The sequence below is a fragment of the Homo sapiens genome, chromosome 4 (genome assembly GCF_000001405.40).
Source record: "Homo sapiens chromosome 4, GRCh38.p14 Primary Assembly".
NCBI lineage: Eukaryota > Metazoa > Chordata > Mammalia > Primates > Hominidae > Homo > Homo sapiens.
The window spans coordinates 48571114-48594037 of record NC_000004.12 but is presented as its reverse complement, the minus strand read 5'-3'; the positions used below and the strand labels follow the sequence as shown (position 1 = coordinate 48594037).

Below are 22924 nucleotides of genomic sequence, written 5' to 3'. Positions count from 1 at the left end.
AAGGATTTTTTTTTTTTTAAGGAACGCTTGGATTTTGCAATGAAAGAAATAATATTTGATCTTCTCAGTGTTGGAAAATCTACTAAAACTTTCACCATTAATCCAGAGGTAAAAAAATTATAATGTAATAATATAAAATCCTAGATTTTTTTTTTAAGAGCATGATTTCTGGAATCAGAACTCTTAGGTTCAAATCCCAGCTCTACTTCTAATAGTAGCTGTGATCCAGGACAAGTTACTTAACCTTTCTAATAGCTGGCCGAATGGTTTAATAATAGTGTTTGTTTGTTTGTTTGTTTGAGACAGAGTTTTGCTCTTGTTGCCCAGGCTGGAGTGAAATAATGGTGTTTAAGCGTGGTAGAAAATAATAAATAGGCCGGGCACGGTGGCTCATGCCTGTAATCCCAGCACTTTGGGAGGCTGAGGCGGGCAGATCACCTGAGGCTGGCAGATCACCTGAGGCTGGCAGTTTGAGACCAGCCTGACCCCAACATGGAGAAACCCCATCTCTCCTAAAAATACAAAATTAGCCGGGAGTGGTGGCACATGCCTGTAATCCCAGCTACTAGGGAGGCTGAGGCAGGAGAATCGCTTGAACCTGGGAGGCAGAGGTTGCGGTGAGTCGAGATCAAGCCATTGCACTCCAGCCTGGGCAATAAGAGCGAAACTCTGTCTCAAAAAATGAATAAAGAAAGGAAAATTTTATCAGGTTAGTCAGCTCAGCTGGCTCCTGGAAGTTATAATGAGCCCAGGTTTTTTTTTTTTTGGTTGTTTTTTTTTTTACTTCACATTGTTTATATTTAAGGTGTTCTTCAATAAATCTCATTCATTCAACATTTATTGAGCACCTGAAATGTGCCAGGCACTGTTCTAGGTGTTATAGAAAAAACAAAAATTTGTTTCCCCCATGCCAAAAAAAATCAACATTAAAAAAGTGAATGTTATATCCTGCTTCCATGGTCTCATTATTCACTAGTAAACTCTAATTCATTCTTTAGACATTAGATTTTCAGGATTTTTCAAAATATTTCATAAATTAATTCTTTGTTGGAATCTAATTACATTTGAGGATATAAAAAGGCAAAATAGGTGTTATCTGTTTATTTTCTTATTTATTTTAAATTACTATCTTGATCCTATACATAGTCAAATCCTAAGGTATGTGTTTATGTGGTTAACAAATGAGTTGGAAAGATAATGCAGCTTTTCATTTGTAATATTTTTAAGATAGTTTAATAATTATTTCCAGATTTTGGAAGTGGGCAAACATGATTGTTTGTATAGCTGACATACTTAACTTGTTGGGGGTACATGTATCCCAGTGGGTGTAGAAGGTAGTTCACTGGAATACAGGAAAAAAATAAAGCTCTTATTTATATATTTTTTGGTTTCTACCGACAAAAATGGTTTCCAGCAACAAAAATTATGAAACAAAAGATATTTTCTTGAACATCCATTTTAAGAAAATATTCACTCTATTGAATAAATTTATTTCTGAAAGTAAGTTTTTTTCTTCCTGAAGTTCTCATACTAGGTATGAGTAAAAAAAATCAGTTCTGCTGGGTTTTTTTCTGTGGGGGAGGTGGTTGTTATTTATTAGGTTTACTTTGTTAGGATTATCTTGGATCTGTATTTTCTTTTCTTGGATCTGTATTTTCTTTTCAAGGACTTTTGTAAGAGCTCATGTAGTTAAAGCTAGATAAAATTATCCATTAGCCCATTTAATCAAATACATGCAAATTGCAATACACTGAAAGAATGTATAAGTGAAGCTACATTGTGGAGCTTTTCTGCGTCTTTCAAGGTGTCGTCTTTGACTATGTGACATGTGACTATCTGATACTTAGACTAAGGGAGGGCACCAGTACTATGTCGTATATAAAGAAGAGTGAAGCTTAAACTTTTAATCTTACTTAGATAAAATATATATATATATATATATATATATATATATAAGAGCTTTATTTTCTTCCCGTATTCCATTGAACTACCTTGCATACCCACTGGGATGCGTGTACCCCACTTGAGAGACCACTGGTGTAGATCAGAGATAATGACAGCTTGGGCTTGGATTGTAGTGGTGCAGATAGAGGAGCATTCACTGAGAAAAAAACATTAAGAAGGAATCAAATCTGGGGGCAAGGTCATGCATTTGGTTTGAACATGTCTAACATGAGGCATCCAGGTAGAGGCATCCAAGTAAGAGATGTCAGATGGGTCTGAGGGTCTGAGTTCAGAGAGAGGCCAGGCTTAAAATTTGTGGGTGATCTGGTATGGGTGGTAAATGAAGCCATGTAAGTATATGCAGTTGTTTTGGGAGGTAATACATGATGATAGGAGAAGGCAGCCCAGGAGAACGTTGCCTTGAAGCAGTCTAACATTTAATACCCAGGTCAGGGAGGCCAAACCTGAAATGCAGATAAAGATGACACAGCCAGAAGTGGAACATAGATACCAAAGGAAGGGAGTGTTTCAGGAGGGAAAGGGTGCTTGACCTTGTCCATGTTGCTGGGAAATCAAGTAGCATACTATAAATAGGCCCACTGTTTTGAGCAATATGGTAACTGATGAGTGAGAATGGCTTCAGGGAAGTATTTGGGGAAAGTTTCTTCCATTAAGATAGCAGTATATTTAAGAGAAAGGGGATATATTCAGTTGAAAGGAAAATGTTGAAGATGCAAGAAAGAAAACGTGTATGTAATTGGTGCTGTAATGTTTCCAAACATGCAAGAACAGATGGGATTCCAACAACTAAGAAGACTGTCACTCCCTCACTATACCAAGAGCAAAAGGGAGGGAGAAGAGGTGCAGGTATAAGTAAATTAGTGTGATTTGTAATTGAGAGATTGAGGAAAGTTGGTGATTTTTTTTCTTCTGTGAAGTAGAAGACAAGTCATTTGCCTAGAAAGGGGAGGGGACGGGACCATAGAAGGATAGGAGAGTTGAGGAAGAGGATTGCTATAAGCCTTAGAGACAATAAGGAAGCTGGTCGACCTCAGAAGTGAGTGAGTGGCATTTGGGAATTTGATATTAAAGCAAATTCTAATGCCTGTGCTAGTTAAAAATGTTGGACAGAAAGGTTAGTGTTCCTTCTATCTTCCTTCCTTCCACCCCCCAACTCTGATGTTACTGATGAAATATTTCTAACATGCAAAAAAGGTAATTTATGATACTCATCTCTTCCTTTTGCATTTTTTTCCTTTGAAGAGAATGAACATAGGTCTCAGAGTCTTCCTTGTAATAGCAGACAGTTTGCAGCAGAAAGATGGTGAACCACCCATGCCAACAACAGGAGTTATTCTTCCCTCAGGAAATACTCTTCGTGTAAAGAAAATATTTCTCAATAAAACCTTGACAGATGAAGAAGCAAAAGTCATAGGTTAGTTTAATTGAAATTAAATGTTGCTTTGTAATACAGTTTCATATTCTTTTATAAAAGTCTGATCAAATATAAAATGTATATAAATTTGCCTAATATGGTTTTTCTAGTATATACAGCCATACAAAATGAATACTTCTGGGTTTTTTTTGTTTTTTGTTTTTGTTTTTGTTTTTGAGACAGAGTCTCACTTTGTTGCCCAGGCTGGAGGGCATGGTGCAGTCTTGGCTGACTGTAAGCTCTACCTCCTGAGTTCAAGTGATTTTCATGCCTCAGCCTCCCAAGTCGCTGGGACCACAGGCGTGCATCACCACACCTGGCTAATTTTTGTATTTTTAGTAGAGATGGGGTTTTGCCACCTTGACCAGGCTGGTCTTGAACTCCTGACCCCAAGTGATTTCACTCGCCTCAGCCTCCCAAAGTGCTGGGATTACAGACGTGAGCCACCATGCTCAGCCCACAGTGAATACGTTTTTTTGATAATAGTCATGAGTCTTCATGTTAAGAGTTTTCCAGTTAAATCTTTATCACAGGATCCTATTCACTGCATTCTGTCCTTTCTTCAACTTAGTTTTAGTCCTCTGCATAATTTTCACATAATTTCTCCAATTAGTCCAATATACTGAAGCTGATCATCAGGGAGAAGAATATGTCACAGTTGAAACCCCTTTTGTGGCAACAATAAGCTAATCATTTAAAGATTAATAGGCTTTTATTACAGAAAGTAAGTATTCTTTATCTAATTTCAGATATTTTATAACTGTGAAGTTTTTTCCCCTAGGAATGTCAGTTTACTATCCTCAAGTAAGAAAAGCATTAGATAGCATCCTCAGACATTTGGACAAAGAAGTTGGGAGACCAATGTGTATGACCAGTGTGCAGATGTCTAATAAGGAGCCTGAAGACATGATTACGTATGTAGTAAATTATGTGCCTTCATTGCTATTTCAGTTTTCCTAAGACAGTGTGGATGGTTCTTGCTTACCTGTCTCCTTACTTGGTCTTTGGAGTTCTTCCATGTTTCTATCTGCTGCAGTTTTCAATACAGTGATTCCTTCCACACACTCAGTTTTATTCCTTAAAGTGCTGTCAAACTGGTATAGATAGCAAAACTCACTCTAGATCCCAGTCTGGTGTGTTGTCAATGACAAGGCCCTACACTTACTCTGTGAGCAAAATATGAATCCTAGGTACCCCGGATGTATGTGGGCATGATTGGTTTATTATGTCAAATAAATGCTTTCACTGCCAAAGCCCTAGTTTAAAAAAAAAAAAAAAAAATCCTGAAAATCTGAACTCTGATTATTTTTGACTCCTAGGAACTAAGGGGCATAGAGAGGAATAACATATGAGCAGTTTTTTTCGAAACACTACCTCATCCCACCCCACCCCAAGGGCCTTGTCATTATTTGTCATCTCTGCATCTTTTTTTCTTATTGTTAGGGACTTCCTCCTCAGGAAACTGTATGTTATGGCAATAGCTTACTTTATTTGCTAGAAAACATCTACATATTCTCTGTAAGGGAGGAGATTCTTCTGGATATTAATATTTGCATTATAGGTCTTAGAATACCAAATTTGGTATTTAATCTCAATTTATTTAATATACAATTATTATGTACTACTATATGCTAATATCTCTGAGAGTTTCTTTAATGTGAAGTTTTTTGCCAATGTTACTTCCTCTGGGAAATCTTGTTTTTCACCACAACCACTTCCCTCATTTAGTAAGTTTTTGCTTTCACCCAGTTCCTCTGACACCTATATAGTGTATTTCTTCTGTAACTGCATTAACTTTCTATTCTATTTCAGTGTGCTTTAATTTAGGATCTTTGAGATAGAGAGCACCCTCTCGGTGACTAGGAGAAAAGCAAGATAGCAATAAAGATTTTATTACTTACAGGTGGGTGGGGGACACTGCACATGTGGAGGCCACACTCATGGAGGTCAGGAAGCATGTGTAGAGAGAGAGAGAAAGAGGCCCATGGGCCAATGCCTTTTTTGGGTTGAGGGTGTTTTCCAAACAGTTACCTATGGGGAATTCTAATTGGTGGATTGAAAGCAAGCACGCATGAGTTCAGGAGATCATGCTGTGCCTGAGAGGTGGTCACTGCAGCACATCTGCATAGTCCATGTGGGGTACGCAGGTCAGTGGGGCCAGTCAAGTAGCCTGCATCTAGGTATCCATATGGAGGTGATTACCAGGAAGAAGTTGTGTAAGACAGATACCTGAATCAACCACATTAAAGAACTGGGGGATGGAGTGGGGTGTAGAACTGGAAACTGTCTCAAGGGTGACTGAGCCCTATTTCTGGTATGAGAAAGTCAAACTTATATTTAATATGGGTGTCAAAGCAACATAAAATTATAAGAACACACTACACAGTGATGTTACTTTTTCTTTCTTTGTGGTACTTCCTCTTTGTTAGCCAATACCCTCTTTTGATTATCTATTTCTGTAAAATGTCATGTGGGTTATCCTGGGAGACCAGGAGGCAACACCATTGCACACTTTGCTGTCTGTGTATGAACTGAATAACAGATGCACCTTGACCAATCACTGACAGCCTTGATGGAAAATGACAGTGATTATGATGTGCATGGTGCTTTATGGACCAAAGAGCGAAAGCAAAGTTTGTTTATGCCATTACTTAATGTATGGTAGCTTAAATTTGAACTGCCTTTTTGGGGACTGGTATTATTTAACTAAAGTGTGGTAACTGAAATTCATGCATTTTGAAACCATGTAAAAAGAGGACTGACTATATGAAATCTCTAGGTAGTGAGTCCATTGCCACTATAACAAATACCCAAGGCCAGGCGCGGTGACTCATGCCTGTAATCCCAGCACTTTGGGAGGCCGAGGCGTATGTATCACCTGAGGTCAGGAGTTCAAGACCAGCCTGACCAACATGGTGAAACCCCATCTGTACTAAAAATACAAAAAATTAGCTGGGCGTGGTGGCAGGCGCCTGTAATCCCAGCTACTCGGGAGGCTGAGGCAGGAGAATCGCCTGAACCCGGGAGGCGGAGGTTACAGTGAGCTGAGATCACGCCATTGCACTCCAGTCTGGGCAACAAGAGCGAAACTCCATCTCAAAAAAAAAATAAAAAATAAAAATAAAACCCAAAACACTGAGAATATCCAAATTCTTTTCTACATAAGGATTATTTTATTAGGCCAACTGAAGAACAATTTAGATGAAAGAAATTTAAAAGGCCTCACCTTCAAATACAGACCAGAATAAAAACCAGTATATTAAGAGGTTAGACATTTAAAATAAATAAAATTATTGAATAACTAGAAGAAAATATAGTAAAATTAAATTGTATTAAGCCTCTAGAGGTACCAGGATTTTCAAAAACTTGGCTCATTTTATTACATAGAAATTTTAAGTATGTGTATTTATGTGTGTGTGTCACATACAGGACAAGAACAAACAATATAAACACCTATGTATGAGATGAATGTTTCTAAGACCTTTGTTAGTGGAAGATACTAAGTGAAAACAATGTGGCTAATTTTATAGGCCCCTCAAAATAACCAGTATTTAGTTATTTAATGATATCAGTGCTATTTATTTTAATATTATTTGTGGGAGGCTAAATATTAAATATTTAATCTTAAATATTAATAAGATTAATTATAAATAATCTGTTTAAATATTTGTTATGTAATAATGGTTGTAATGCTTGTTGTCTAGTTACTGAAAACCTTTTTGTTTGCTGGTTTTATTTTGAATTATTTCTGTATTCTTTTATCCATATATAGGCTAATAATTATCTACAGGATTTATGTGCATTTTTAAAATATTAAATACATTGAACTTTAGGGGAGGACTCGCACTTTCTGTAGTTATTTTTCCAAGTTTGATTTCATTGTCTAGCATATGTAATATGTTTCTTATTAAATCCTGTTGTATTTTTCAGGGGGGAAAGAAAACCCAAGATTGATTTGTTTAGAACTTGTATTGCTGCGATTCCAAGGTTGATTCCTGACGGTATGAGCAGAACTGACCTGATTGAATTGTTAGCAAGGTAAATGAGAATTACTGTTTGCTATATTGTTTTATGTCTTCTGCTCCTTTATATTTCTAATATACCTTTGTTACTGTTATCACTAAAAAGGCGATGTTAAAGACATTTCTAATCCTTTATCTGATTTACTTTCTAAACTTCCATTTTGTCTTTTTTTGTTGTTGTTAAACACATTTTCCTCACTGATTTTTAACTTCTCAAATTCTTCTAGATTCCCCCCACAAATCCTATCTTTCAGTTCCCTATTTTTCCATCTAGTATTCTTTCCTGGGATTTCTGTAACACATTATCCCTTAACATATGGGCATTATCAGTGTATGATAATTCCCAGTTAGGCAATTAATTATTGTGTTTACTCTTACAGTCATTTCTTTAGTATCTCTAGTGGTAATCAGGTCTCATTTGTGCTTTTTTTTCCCCCTATGGCAGAACTGTGGCATTTAAGTTTTTCTCTCTCTTCTATTAGGCATGTCATAGCTCTGTAAAATGAGTAAATAACCTGACAACCAAACTTAAATACTAGCTCCTAATTCTAAGTTGAGACGATAGCCTGTTGAAAAACTGCTTTGTTGATGTAGTTAGGGATTCCCTAGATAAGGGATCAGCACATTTTTCTGGAAAGTACCAGATAGTATTTTAGGGTTTTGCAGATCATTATGATCTTTGTAATGGGTCCAATTATACAGTTAGATAGAAGTAAGACCTAGTGTTCATAGATCAGTAGAGTGACTATAGTTTACAATAATCTGTTGTACATTTCAAAATAGCTAGAAAGGAATAATTTAAAGGTTTCTAACATAAAGAAAAGACAAGTATTTATGGTGATAGATATCCTCATTGCACTGATTTGATCTTTACAAATTATTTGAATGCACTAGATTATCACATCTACCACAAAAGTATGTACAACTGTTGTGTATCAATAAAACAAGCAAACACATACTCATCTCTGCCATTATAGTACAAAAGCAGCCATAGACAATAGAGTGCGCATGACTGCGTTCCAATAAGCATCTGGCTGGATTTAGCCCTTGAGCCACAGTTTGCCAGCCCCTGTCCTAGATGAAAAAAACAAATACAATGACTATAGCAGAGCAGCAATATTTGACTATGTTGAAAGGTGTTTACTTGTGGCTGGGCATTTATCACTTAGGTGTAAGTTAAATTCATAATAAATAAACAATTAAAGACTGTTCCAGCAATCCTTTCTCCCCACTTCCCTAGCTTTTCACACACCCTGGCACTACATTATCCTCAACTGTTGCCTGTTGTGATCAGAGATTTTATGTCTCCTGTGATGATTGTGAAAGAAAGGGGTTACTTTGCATTATATAAATTTGTTCCCTTCGCACAGTCTCCTAATTTTTTTGTGAATTAGATTGTAGAGTTACAAAGTTCATGCCAGCATTGGAAATAAGAAACATTAATTATTTATGATACTATTCCTTGGGAGAGCAGTAAACAACTACTGTTCAATTCTGCTCTTACTCCTCCTATTTCAACATAACTCATCTACATCTTTGTGGATGTTGATCCACAAGAGTAGATCTCCCATCTTTTCCACCAAAATGAAACTGTAACTATGAGGGCCAGGGATGGGAAAGCCTAGTAAAAGAGCAGACAGCTGAATAGTGAATGACAATTTGCTTTGCTGTTCACTTTGCTTCTTTCTCCTATGATATTTGTTTACTAATAATTTACCTCAATGGAAAGGAAGATCCCAGGGTCTATTCTATTCTCTCCTCTCTTCTTATCATTTGGAATTGTGCTGTCTAAATCTTATTTACTTTACCATAAAGGAAGCAAACAAACAAAACAAAGGTGCATTGTAAATGTGCAGACCTGTATCCTGTCCCTAAGGAAAGTTAATTAATTCCCCTGCCTTTAATTAACCAAGCTTTATTGTTTTCTGCTCTGTACAATGAGCAGTTAACTCACACATGTATACCCTGTATCACACAGATAGGAGTAAGATAGATATTTACATATTCATGGATTTAAGGAATGTTGAAATAACCTTTAAAGTCAACATCATTGAGGACTGTCACTCTCTTCTCCCATATTGTATCTCCTGGTGCCGCTATTAGAGACAGAATACTGGGCTAGAGATGCTTCATTTGACCCTGTTTATTTCTCATGTGCTGATGGAACTGCTGCTGCTTTGTTGCTTACTCCTCAGTCTGTCTAGCTATAATACTTCTCTTTAGTCTCATTGTCAGTTGAAAGTTGGCTTCGTGATGACTAGAACTGAGTTCAGCAGGGTGAATACTTATATCTCCTTTCTCCTAAACCACACAACTTTCTGCCTCTGTTGTGGATAACTCCATTTTTCCAGCTTCCCAAGCATATAATTGTGTTTAATATTACGTACTTACCTTATTCATTCAGACTATTTCTAACTCTGATACATTTGTCTTTGTAGTCAATTACTAGCATAATTCTCTTCAGACCCAAATCAGAAACTCTTTATTCATATAATATTATTATATAATGGTGGCTTCCACTACTGTAGCCATTTTTTTAAAAGAATTTCTTGTTTATCATTCTCTTTTATGTTATGGTAAACTTCTGTAACTAAAATTATATTCAAAGCCCCATATTGTTTTGATGTATTTAAAAGCAGATTGTATATAGCATCTCCTAATTTGTTTAGACTTAAACTCTCTTTAGGAACTTATGTGCAGAGTCAACACATTTTTTTTTTTCTTTTTTTTTTGAGATGATGTCTTGCTCTGTTGCCCAGGCTGGAGTGCAGTGGCACAATCTCGGCTCATTGCAACCTCTGCCTCCCGGGTTCAAGCAATTCTCCTGCCTCGGCCTCCTGAGTAGCTGGGATTACAGGCGTGCACCACCACGCCTGGTTAATGTTTTTGTATTTTTAATAGAGACGGGATTTCATCATGTTGGCCAGGCTGGTCTCGAACTCCCGACCTCAAGTGATTCACCTGCCCTGGCCTCCCAAAGTACTGGGATTATAAGTGTGAGCCACTGAGCTCAGCCTTATTTTTTTTTTTTCTAGGCATGTACCATTTATAATATTACTCCTAAATTTACTCTCATTCTGACCTTCAATAATTATTGTGTTGCATTGATTCCATCTTCATTTGTTGTATATCCTTCTTCACAATCAGCCATCCTGTATTCAACTGTAACTTCAGTGTGTATAAAGAATAATTGAGTGGTGGCTCACGCCCGTAATCCCAGCACTTTGGGAGGCCGAGGCGGGCAGATCATGAGGTCAGGAGATCCAGACCATCCTGGCTAAGACGGTGAAACCCCGTCTCTACTAAAAATACAAAAAATTAGCTGGGTGTGGTGGCGGGCACCTGCATTCCCAGCTACTTGGGAGGCTGAGGCAGGAGAATGGCGTGAACCCAGAAGACAGTGCTTGCAATGAGCCGAGATCATGCCGCTGCACTCCAGCCTGGGTGACAGAGCGAGATTCTGTCTCAAAAAAAAAAAAAGAATGATTGAGATAAATCGTGTCCTTGCCAGTGATAGTAAAGATTAAATAAATGTGACGATAGTGCTAAGATAGCATATGATTAGATATCATTTTTGATTGATTATAAGATAACAATACAGTATTTTAAGGATTAAAGGATTTTAAATGGAATTCTAATGTCATTTGTATCAAACTTATTATTCAGATTATAGTAAAAACACCAACTAATGGGAATAGATTCATATGTGAATTTAAGCAAATGAGAGTATAAACTAGCATAAAGTTGAATATAGCATGAAAAAGTGATCATTGGTTGCTATCTTCATATTTCTTACAAAACAACTAAGAGGACATTTATTTTAAGGTCATAGTTTTAAGTTTCAGATGATAAAACTAATTGAAAGGTATTGAAGTTTGCTAATGGAATTTTGTTCTTGGTAGGCTCACAATTCATATGGATGAAGAACTGCGTGCTCTGGCTTTCAATACTCTGCAGGCACTAATGCTTGATTTTCCAGATTGGCGGGAGGATGTTCTTTCAGGATTTGTTTATTTTATTGTTCGTGAAGTGACTGATGTCCATCCCACACTTCTTGATAATGCCGTAAAGATGTTGGTACAATTAATAAATCAGTGGAAACAAGCAGCCCAAATGCATAATAAAAACCAGGACACTCAGGTACCAGATTCTTTTCTATTGTCCTTTTGTATGTGGTCAGTGCTAAATGACCAATAATGGTTTTAATACAGATTTACTTTATCAAACACTAAAAGTATTATTAGTTCTATTCACTCTCAATGTGTTCCTAATCCCTTAAACTGAACTTTCCCATAGTTCCTGTAGTGAATATATAGTGTTTATGTGTCTAACTTTTCTAATCTTCTTCTTTGGGTTTTTAATGAGCATAGAAATTAGAGATAATTCCAGCTCACTTTTAGGTTGTTTCCAATATATTTAAAGCCAGTACAATAAATTTTTGGTAGTCTTCCATTTGGGTTATTTGATTGTTTTATCCATGTCACCAGTCCCTGTTTCACATAGACAGTAACTGTGCTCCTTAACCATAAAAGATGCTCAAATCATTGATTTATGATAATGTGTAAATCATAGAACCTTGAAATTTTAGACCCGAGCCATTGAAGCCACCCTAGCTTCTCAACCTTTAATGAGCATGCAAATCAACAGGGCCCTAAGAAAGAGTTTCAGGAGTTTCTTAGAAGCTCTCAGGTATTGCCAGGCTGCTGGTCCACACTCTGAGTGTGAAAGATACACTACAATCCCCTCATTTTCCACATAGAAATCAGATGAAGAGCAACTGTCAGTTCCAAGGTTACAAAATAGTCAGAGAATGGTAGAAGTTAGGTACAGAATTCATATTTAGACTGCCAGTGAAATGTTTTCACTGTGCACACTATTCCATTTTTATAAAATACATGCGATTTACATTGCTTGAGCTGAGGCAGACCGGTAGTCATAATCACTATGATTTGCTTTATTTTTTATTAACTGTTTTTCGGAAATGTCTGTGCATATATTTTTATATTTTGTTTTTAACTTCTGTTTTTCAAGCATGGTGTAGCTAATGGAGCTTCTCATCCCCCTCCTCTGGAAAGGAGCCCATATTCCAATGTATTCCATGTGGTTGAAGGCTTTGCGCTTGTCATTCTCTGTAGCAGTCGACCTGCCACTAGGAGACTAGCCGTCAGTGTCCTTAGAGAAATACGGGCTTTATTTGCACTTCTGGAAATACCTAAGGTAAGATTTAGGTATTTCATTCAGTTATCTATTGAAAGTACTTAAAAACCATCTCTTTGTCCATCCTTATCCCATGTAGGTAGGTTACTACCATGGGTCTAAACTAACCTACCGTTCTCAATTGGGAGGCCGAGTCGGGCGGATCACGAGATCAGGAGATCGAGACCATCCTGGCTAACACGGTGGTCTCTACTAAAAATATAAAAAAAAAATTAGCCGGGCGTGGTGGCGGGCGCCTGTAGTCCAGCTACTCGGGAGGCTGAGGAGAATGGCGTGAACCCAGGAGGCGGAGTTTGCAGTGAGCCGAGATGGCGCTGCTGCACTCCAGCCTGGGTGACAGAGCGAGACTCCGTCTCAAAAAAAAAAAAAAAAAAATAGTGCTGAAGTGAATTTTTAGTGTTTACTTGGGTTTGGCTACTTTGCTTAAACATTCCTAATTTTTTTAGACATATGATGTCTTTTTTACAGGGTGATGATGAATTAGCCATAGATGTGATGGACAGGCTAAGCCCATCCATTCTTGAGAGCTTCATACATCTCACTGGGGCTGATCAGGTAACTATAGTGACTTCATTCTACCCAATCTTGTTTTGAGACTTATGACAGACACATATGTATACATGTACATGTGCATACATAAAATAACTTCCTTAACAAATGTAATGAGTTAGAAAGTATTTTTGAAAAGTAGAAAATGCTTAAGAGTAGTACTTAAAAAGTGACATTCATTTATACTTGGTTAAGTACTCTTCTACATAGAAATAAAAATTATTTTATGTTTGTAAAATTCTCATCCTTCCAATCTAAGAAGTTTCTGTTAAATGGAATCTTTATGCTACCGTTTGCTCTTTATTATGGCATATAATATTCGTGAGATAGAAATACTTGTGAAAATGCTACGGGAAAAAAATGGTGATACTCAAAGCAAAAACTTACACCCTGCTTTTTTGGCAACTGTTTTTTGTGTATCACATAAGTTTAAGTATAGTGGATTAAGTACATAGTGTTTTATACCAATGTCATATGTAATTTGACTCATTAAAATGGAGAGAAACACTTTGTCCACAAACATATTACTAACAAAGTTTATGCAAACTTTCTTGCTTGGTCTTGGTTGGGTAAAAGGTCATATATTAAGATTCCAAAGTTGATGTAAGAATAGCTATAAAACCTTACTATTTAAAAATATTTCCTCCTATTTTAGAATACATGGTCAAGAGGTTAATGCATAACATTAAGAGCTTGCGGCATAACACCTGATTCTTATAATTCATGAGTTATATGTAGCCAAGGGAGGTAATAAGGTTTTATAAGCCTAAGAGATTATTAGAAATCTGTACAATTCCCCCCCGCCATGATGCTACCATGATGCTAAACTTTTTAAAAAACTAATTTTTAATTTTTATTTATTTTTAAATAGATACAATTGTACATATTTATGCGGTGCAATTTGATGTTTCCATACATGTCTATATTGTATAATGACCCAATCAGGGTAGTTAGTGTATCCATCATCTCATGTGTTTATCATTTATTTGTGGTAAGAACCTTTAAAAGCCTCTCTTCTAGTTATTTTATGAAAGGATCTATACAATTCAAAACATTTTGTTTTAGATATTAACCATAAATTATGAATTATTCCAAAAAGAGAGTAATGGATGACTTGTTTCTTGTGCCTAAAGCAGTGCTTAATATACTTTTCTTTGAACATAAATGTTTATCTCTTCAGTATAAGAGTTCAAATATTGAACAAGTATTTAAGAATATATACCTCTGGAGAAGAGCTCATTTTTGAGTCTGTTCCACACATACATAGATACAGGTCAACATGAAAGTTAATGGTTCACTCTTTAGTTCTCTGGCAGCTTTTGGTATACGATGAAATTTGGATATTTATTTAAGAATTACTTAAATAGTGGTCCTGAACTTCTTTGGTTTATAGTCCTCTTGAGAATAATGAAAACAGTGGAATCCCTCTCCAAAAAAAAGACATGTATGCACATACAGAAACTTTACATGCAGTTTCAGGAATTCTCTACTCCCTTCAACCTACCATGGACTTTATATTATCTTGTTTTAGAAACTACTAATACACCACTTTCAGTTTAAAGCAATTTATATGGTAAAATTTCAAAGTTATTGAAATGTGTAATAATCAATTTTTTCCTCTCCATATAGACTACTTTGCTCTATTGCCCTAGCTCGATAGATTTACAAACTTTAGCAGAATGGAACTCTTCTCCTATTAGCCACCAGTTTGATGTGATTAGTCCATCACATATATGGATATTTGCACATGTGACCCAAGGCCAAGACCCATGGATTATAAGTCTCTCCAGTTTTTTAAAGCAAGAAAATCTTCCTAAACACTGCTCTACAGCTGTGAGCTATGCTTGGATGTTTGCATACACAAGACTTCAGTTGTTGTCCCCTCAGGTCGATATAAAGTAAGTTATTTTCCTAGTGTAAATTTAAAAATGTATAGACTGTCAGCTTTCATATGTATTTATTTGAAAAATTCAAAAGTATTACAGATTGGAAGGCCCATAAATAATATGTGATACTGCATTGATGTCTTAAGGAGGGAGAAGAATGTTGTCAAGGACATAGTCTCATAACTTCTTCATCCTTTTCATGTAATACAGTCTCACCAAATTTTAATTATTAATTTACTTAATAACACTGTACTTGGTACATAGTTGTGTCCATCGAATCTGTGTTAAGGGAAAAAATTGGGAAAGAATCTAAGGATGAGTATGGATGTAGACACAGAAGTTTGTAGATAAAGGGTGAGAAGCAGAGCGAAACTCAGCTCAGTGGCCTTACTTTTCCCGATGACAGTGTAAGGAAGGCCACCTTCTGGTGGGGAGTGGTAATAACACACTGAGTAGGAGATTTGAGGATGTTGGTAAAGATTTGGAATAACTGATGATGAAATGGAGAGTTGACCAAGGTCATTATAAATTTCAGTTAGTTTTTGTTTTGTTTTGTTTTTTTGCTCTTAAATACAGAGGAGAATTTTTGAATCTGGGTTTGGGTTCCTGATTTCTCCTTACAGAGTACACCACTGATCACATTGAATGGAATGAGTCCTCTCAGCATATAACTTGCCCATGTAAACCCAGCATCTGGATTGACCTATCACTGGAGGCCTACATTAAAGGCTCTTCAAACCTGACTTCACTCTGTACCTTTTTTCTTACTTTCTATCAATACTTTCAAAGTTGGAACCAAATTATCCCCTCAGAGTTCATTAAGTGTGGTTGATAGTTTCCATTTTGTGAGCTTTTGTTCACATGAGCGTAGGATACCTTTTTTTTTTTAATTTTTGCATATCCGTATCTAATATAGTTCAAATTCAATCTTATTTTTTAAAATCTCTTAAACTTCCTACCCAGAGTAGTCCTTCTTACTTTTGGATTTGAATATATATATATGTATATATATTTCTACATATACATGCTAATTGTATATATATGTTCTCAGGTATTGTGTATTGGATTTCTTTTTTGTTTTGTGTTTTGTTTTTTGTTTTTTTTTTAAAGAGGCAGGGTCTCACTCTGTCACTTAGGCTGGAATGCAGAGGTGTAATCATAGCTCATTGCAATGTCGAACTTCTGGGCTCAAGCAGTCCTCCCACTTCAGCCTCCCAAAGTGCTGGGATTATAGCTATGAGCCACCACACCTGGTCTGGATGTTACTTTTTAAATAAAGATTGACATTTGCCACCTTGCATACCATTTATGACCTTAAGTAGCCTTCCCTAATTACCATATTTTAAATTATAACCCCATATCCTACCAGCATTCTTTATCTCCCTTTTCTGCTCTATTTTTCTTCATCAAACTTAGCACCATCTGACATTGTTTTATTTATTTCTTTATTGTATGTCTCCCATGGCCTGCATGAGGGCAGTGATTTTTTTGACAGTTTTTTTGACTGATACGTTACCAGTGCTTAGATCGTTTTCTAACATACTAGGACATTGTTCTATGATGCTCTTGCTGAATTAACAAAGTGATGTGTTTGCATTACTTACCTTAACATATTACAAAACTAGTTGAAGGCAAGGATTATATATTTGTATTTTTCCTCTTTCGTTTTGCTCTCAGTTCTTAATTCTAACATAATTTCGGTATTTGGAAAGATTTATGGAATTGTTTCAAAATATTTTATTGATGTAATCTTTCAAGACAGAAATTTGGCAGAAGCCTTGAAAATATGTATCTTCTTTGACTCTGTGATTTCATTTTCAAGAATTACCTAAGAAAATAATTAACCATATATTCAAATGTATAGTATTGTGTATAATAGGGAAAAATTGCTATTAGCTAAAATGTCAAACAACAAAACTTTGGTTATATAAAATATGATACTTTATATTGATATAGCATATAGTTAATCAAAATAATGTCACAGAAGTATATTAATTTACATAGAGAGGTGAAAAATACGTAAGTCTAAAAGGTAGATACAAAATAAAATAAACATTTAATTCGTATAAATTAAAAGAGATGTATTCATGCACTTATAGTTCATGTATATGAATTAAAGATATATAGAATATGCAGTGTTTATTTTCATGTGGGATTAAAGGTGATTTTGATTTTGTTTTCTTTCTACATTGAGTATGCATAGTAAGTTATAAAATATGGCCCAATAAAATATTAACTTTTATCACAGGAGTAATAATGTTAAAATGATCTGGTAACATATTTTAATTTTTAATCCATTACTTTATTCATTGATATCAGTCCACAAAAACAGTACTAGTAATAAAAACCTTATGCTAACCATCTCTCTAATTAGCATTAGGCCAGGCATGGTGGCTCACCCCTGTAATCCCAGCACTTTGGAAAGCCAAGGCAGGTAGATCATCTGAGCTCAGGAGTTAGAGACCATCCTGGGCAACATGACGAAACCTCATCTCTACCAAAAATACAAAACATTTGCTGGGCGTGATGGCACACACCTGTAGTCCCAGCTACTCTGGAGGCTGAGGTGGGAGGATCACTTGAGCCTGAGAGGTGGGGAGGTTGCAGTGAGCCAAGATTATGCCAGTTGCACTCCGGCCTGGGTGACAGAGTGACACTCTGTCTCAAAAAAAAAAAAAAAGAAATTTAGCATTAGTTAAAATAAACTTTTAAAAACGTGTTGTGTTATTCATATCTGCCTATTTTTCTTTTTTTTTCCTTAGTAGCCCCATCAATGCTAAGAAAGTAAATACCACCACAAGCAGTGACTCATACATTGGCCTGTGGAGAAACTATCTGATCCTTTGCTGCAGTGCAGCAACATCGTCATCTTCCACATCTGCAGGTTCTGTGAGATGTTCTCCTCCTGAGACGCTGGCGTCTACCCCAGATAGCGGCTATAGCATTGATTCTAAAGTAAGTTTCTCAGATCCACTGTTGGATATATGAAATCTGAATGGCCCCATAAAAATAAGATTTTAAAATTTCTTTTTATGGACAATAAAGTAACTCAGTTGAAAATGTGTTACTTACTTGCAAAAAGGAAAATACCTCAAGAAAGCCCATCATTGCTTTTATGGATTCCTAGTTGGAATCAATAATACGTACATAGTTTTCCATTGGAAAGAAAGACCCGTGCTCATTCAGTTTATCATACTCAACATTTTTAAAGAAATTGTCATACCTATTTTCCCATATTCTAGTTTTTATAGTTCTCACACTTCTCAGAACCCAAAAGGAATCATTTAAATAATTAAACGCCTTTCTAGAATTTCCCTAAATTACGTAGTGATCTAAAGGGTACTTGATAAGAACAGTGGTTTAGTTTTCATGAAAATGACAAAACTTAAGACCAGCGTGTCTGACTTTAGCACTGATGACTATTTTAGAAGTCATTTTGTTTTCTTCATGTTCATGGACCAAAAGGTACAGAGTATCTGATGAAGGGAGTCAGCCTATTATATGATCATGAGTGTCTGTAAGAAATTAGGAGCCCCAAGTTCTGTTAATGAACTTGCATTAAGCCATTGGACAAGCTATTTAACCTTTTAAGTTATGTACACCCCAGGTGAAATTTGAGGTATCATTCATAGTAAAGTTTCACCTGTCCATTTATCCTTGACATAAGACTACTGAAATCTCAGATTATCTAATTGGACATAGTATCATTAGTGGCTGTTACAAATACGATATTTTTTTTCCAGATTATTGGCATCCCATCCCCTTCATCCTTGTTTAAGCACATAGTTCCAATGATGCGTTCTGAGAGCATGGAAATCACAGAATCCCTTGTTCTAGGTCTTGGCAGGACCAACCCAGGAGCTTTTAGGTAACTATGTTCGTACATTTTTTCTATGTCCTAAAAGAATAAATGTGCTACTTAGAAGGTGTGGTAGGGTCCTTAGAAGGTGTGGTAGGGTCAAGCAGAGTGCTTGACCGCATACCAGGCCTGACTTTCACCAATTAACTAGCCATGTAACATTTAACATGGATTAACATTAAAATCCAAACATTAACATTTATTGGAAGCTTTATTTCCTCATTTTGATTGAGCAGATTAAAACTTACCTATATGTTCTAGAAATAATGAAATGCCATATAAATATTTAATATTTTACTACTATATTTATTTATGTAGTCATTCTTTTAATGTGTAATCTTGCTCTAGTAGTTAAAACTCCAGTTTTCCCCCTTCTTATCCAAGAGAATTAGAGTATCTTTCAAAAAGTATTTACATAGATGTTTGATATCATTCGTGATGTTTTTTATATTAATGAAGCAAATTCTTCAGTTTTGCCTGAAGTTCTGCCTTGTCTCCTGGGCACAGAATTTATTCTTTTGAGAATTTCCTCAATTAATATGAGAATGGTATCTGATGTTTTGTCTCCAAGATAGCCTATACAACCAGGGAATAGGTTAATACTCTGGTTTCGCTTCAGATTGTATAAATCTTTTGCCTTTTGCTAAAGATTTCCATAGAGAGGAACATTTAAATAAAAATAAGTAAAAAAGAATAGGTTAATAAATTGTAATATATCTATAGGTATGGGATAGCATTTCTTATAAATGAAGTTTTGGAAAAAGATTTTAAGACAGATAAAGACACTTTTCTGCTAATTGAAAAAAATAGGATTTAAAAGTGATCTCAACTTAAAATAATTAAATTCTCATAATTAGAAACAATTCAGAGACACTTTTAAAGGTCAGCAGTTTTCGATACATGATTAAATTGTGGATGATTTTTTTCTTCTTATGTTTTTTCAGATTTTCCCAATCTTAAAATAAGCACATTTTCAATTTAAAATCAAAATATAAATAAAGAGAAATTTATCATTTTTACAAAGTTCATACCCTTTGACCCATTAATTTAATTTGTAAAATTAATCCTAAGGGGATAGAAACGAAAACAGTGAAAAATGTACAAAGTTGTTCACAGAGGCAATATTTTTAGTAAGAGAAAATTAGATAAAATAAAATGATTCATTAATAAATGAAAATGTCTAGGAAAATTATGGTACCCCACCCTATGTTCGAATATCATGAATTAATTATTGGCATATAAAATTAACTATGTTAGTGTAAGAAAAGAAAAATAGGCCAGGCGCGGTGGCTCACACCTGTAATCCCAACACTTTGGGAGGCTGAGGCGGGCAAATCGCCTGAGGTCGGGAGTTTGAGACCAGCCTGACCAACATGGAGAAACCCTGTTTCTACTAAAAATACAAAAAATTAGCCAGGCATAGTGGTGCATGCCTGTAATCCCAGCTACTCAGGAGGCTGAGGCAGGAGAATCACTTGAATCCGGGAGGCGTAAGTTGCAGTGAGCCGAGATCACGCCATTGCACTCCAGCCTGGGCAACAAGAGCGAAACTCCATCTCAAAAAATAAAAAAGGATACCATTTTATATAAAACAGTTTCAACTAAGTAAAACGTATGTGGATTGCAAACTGATTGAATAAAAATATTGGTAGTATTCCCTCTATAAATTAAAATAAGAGGCCTATACCATTTTTTTTCTGGTTTCCAAATAGTCTATAATATAATGTGTTATTTTATAAACCAAATAAAAAAATAGACATTGTGTTTAAAACAGTAGGATTGGAATTAACACTTGTCAGTTTACATCATGTTTTTACATATTTACCTGTGTCAGATTATATCTGTGTAGCTATTAATAGAATATGTACCATTTTTCTTCCAGGGAACTAATAGAGGAATTACATCCCATAATTAAAGAAGCACTCGAAAGAAGGCCAGAGGTGAGCTGTGTTCTGCAGCCTTGTATTAGTGAACATTCATTTTTCTGCCATATTTACATGTTATATCAAAAGTTAGAAATTACGAAGACTATCTAGTGTATTCTTCTTTTTAAGATGCAGACACTTCCCCTCCCCGCAGAAGATCTTATGCAGAAACCCATTATGTAAAACGGATGAAAAATTGCTTTAACTTAAGTGAGGGCAGAAAATAGGGTCTAGAATGGAGTTGGCAAACTTTTTCTGCAAAGGACCGGATGGTAAATATTTTCGGCTTTACAGGCCATACTGTCTCTACTCAGCCCTGCCTTTGTAGCATGAAAGCGTTCGTAAACTACATAAAAAAAGGAGTGTGGCTGTTTGCCAGTAAAACAGTAAAAAATTTGCAGCGACAGGTAGCAGTGGGCCAGATTTGGCCCATGGGATGTAGTTTCACAAGACTGAGCCTAGATTCCCAAATCTACAGGTTCTGAGCAGCTTTCAGAAACTATAGGTCCAGTGGGACAGATGGTTATGAAAACCTTAATTCTAACAATTTATTACGCACTCAAGTAAAATCATAGAGAAGAGATTCTAAGAACTACAGAGAAGAAAGCCTGGGACTCTGGTTGCAGGGTAAGGAAGGCATTATAGATGAAGTGCTGATATTTCAGATGAATTTTGAAGCACGTTCCTCAGTGGACAAACAAGGGAAAAAGGTATTCTAGGCAAAGAACAGCATTTGCAAACTTTACAAAGAATTTTGAAATTGCAAATTTTTCTGTGTAGTTATATTATGGGGGAAGTGATTGAATATTAGGCTGGATAGCAAGATGAGAAATATCTCATGAAAAACTACTAGCTTTAGCTTTAACCAGTAGAACAGTAGTTCCTGTGCCTGTGGCATCTGAGAGTTACCTGGGGAGCTTGCTAAAAATTTTAGACTCCTGGGTCTATTGAATGAGAATCCCTGGAATAGGGTCCAGAAGTCTGTTTTTGTAAAGCATCTTAGATGAGTCTGCTGTAGAACATTGTTTGGGAATCAGTGCTGTTAATGTTGGGGATGCCCTGAGGAATTTAAGCAGGAGAGGGAGATGGTGATAATCCCTGCAGTTTAGGGACTTTGAAACATCATCTGCAATTCCTCATTCTCCTTTAATTCAGCACTGTAGGGTCATGATAGTATTCCTATTTTGTCATTGATTTGATTTTTGTTTCAGAATGATCAGTTTGGTTACAGTGCTGGATGACTTGTTAGAGAAATGTGAGATTGAAACAAAACAAAATAGCAGTATTTATTCTTCTGAATTTCAGAAGGAATGCTATTAAACACATGCAGTGATGTGCCTTGAATGTGAGTTATAGTTGAAGAGCTTTAGACTCACACTGTTTCTGTGAAGACAAAATGAAAACAGGCCAACCAAACTGCAAAAGCCAGTTGCAGAAATCTTCAAAGACTGATAAGAAATCATCCTGTTTCAAATGAATTGCTGTCAACTTTAGAAAGAGCCAAGAGAAAAGTAAATGTAATTGATTAGTCATTAGTAAATTATCATGCACCTGGAAGGCAGAAAAATTGGGTCATGGACAAGAAAGTGAAATTTCAACTAGTAAATATGGTTTTAATTTGCTCTGTAATATGAAAATTACATCACAAATGAAATAATGACCTATAGTAGAAGGTGATATAGGTGATTGATATCTCTTACATGACTTTCTGCTAGAAGCAGAATCACGTTGAAATGTTACAGCTATTATTCTGGGCATTATTCTAGTTCTTTGGACCTAGTAATACAAACATATTTATTCATATCATAATGAGTAAAGAAGTTTTTCTTGTATTTGTTTATATTTTTTGTGCCAAAATTGTTGTGTAGAAAACTGTGGCATGAGCAAAATCTTAAGTCCTTTTTAGGATTGTTTTCCCTATACTTCTGTCATATTTTTGGGAGGGTATTAGGGATTCCTTATAATTCCATGATAACAGTTTACTAATTGCTTCAATTCCAAAACTGTCTGATTAGCAAATAACCTAAAAATGTAGTATTTTACTTCCCCTGACACACAGGGGTTGTCACCATGTAAGATGTCATGTG

At 35.8% G+C, this 22924-nt stretch overlaps 1 protein-coding gene and 1 pseudogene across 21 annotated transcripts in view; both read left to right on the top strand.

Moving 5' to 3' along the window:
* FRYL (FRY like transcription coactivator) overlaps window positions 1–22924 on the top strand; it is a 282923-nt gene that overhangs the window by 186242 nt on the left and 73757 nt on the right. For 17 of the 21 annotated variants that reach the window (XR_007096393.1, XM_024453991.2, XM_024453993.2 and 14 more), the window contains 11 exons: window positions 22–108; window positions 3208–3379; window positions 4161–4293; window positions 7310–7417; window positions 11304–11541; window positions 12433–12618; window positions 13087–13173; window positions 14797–15065; window positions 17816–18008; window positions 18797–18921; window positions 20795–20852. Coding sequence is in view for 17 of the 21 variants with exons in the window: in XM_024453991.2 (XP_024309759.1) it covers window positions 22–108; window positions 3208–3379; window positions 4161–4293; window positions 7310–7417; window positions 11304–11541; window positions 12433–12618; window positions 13087–13173; window positions 14797–15065; window positions 17816–18008; window positions 18797–18921; window positions 20795–20852 (1656 nt within the window). In the remaining 4 variants the exon portion in view is untranslated. Of the gene's footprint in view, window positions 1–21; window positions 109–3207; window positions 3380–4160; window positions 4294–7309; window positions 7418–11303; window positions 11542–12432; window positions 12619–13086; window positions 13174–14796; window positions 15066–17815; window positions 18009–18796; window positions 18922–20794; window positions 20853–21086; window positions 21110–22144; window positions 22355–22924 lie in introns of those variants that run through there. The other 4 variants (XM_047450100.1, XM_005248093.6, XM_011513684.4 and 1 more) reach the window with 4 other exon arrangements.
* Window positions 19518–19585, top strand: RNU5E-3P (RNA, U5E small nuclear 3, pseudogene; annotated as a pseudogene).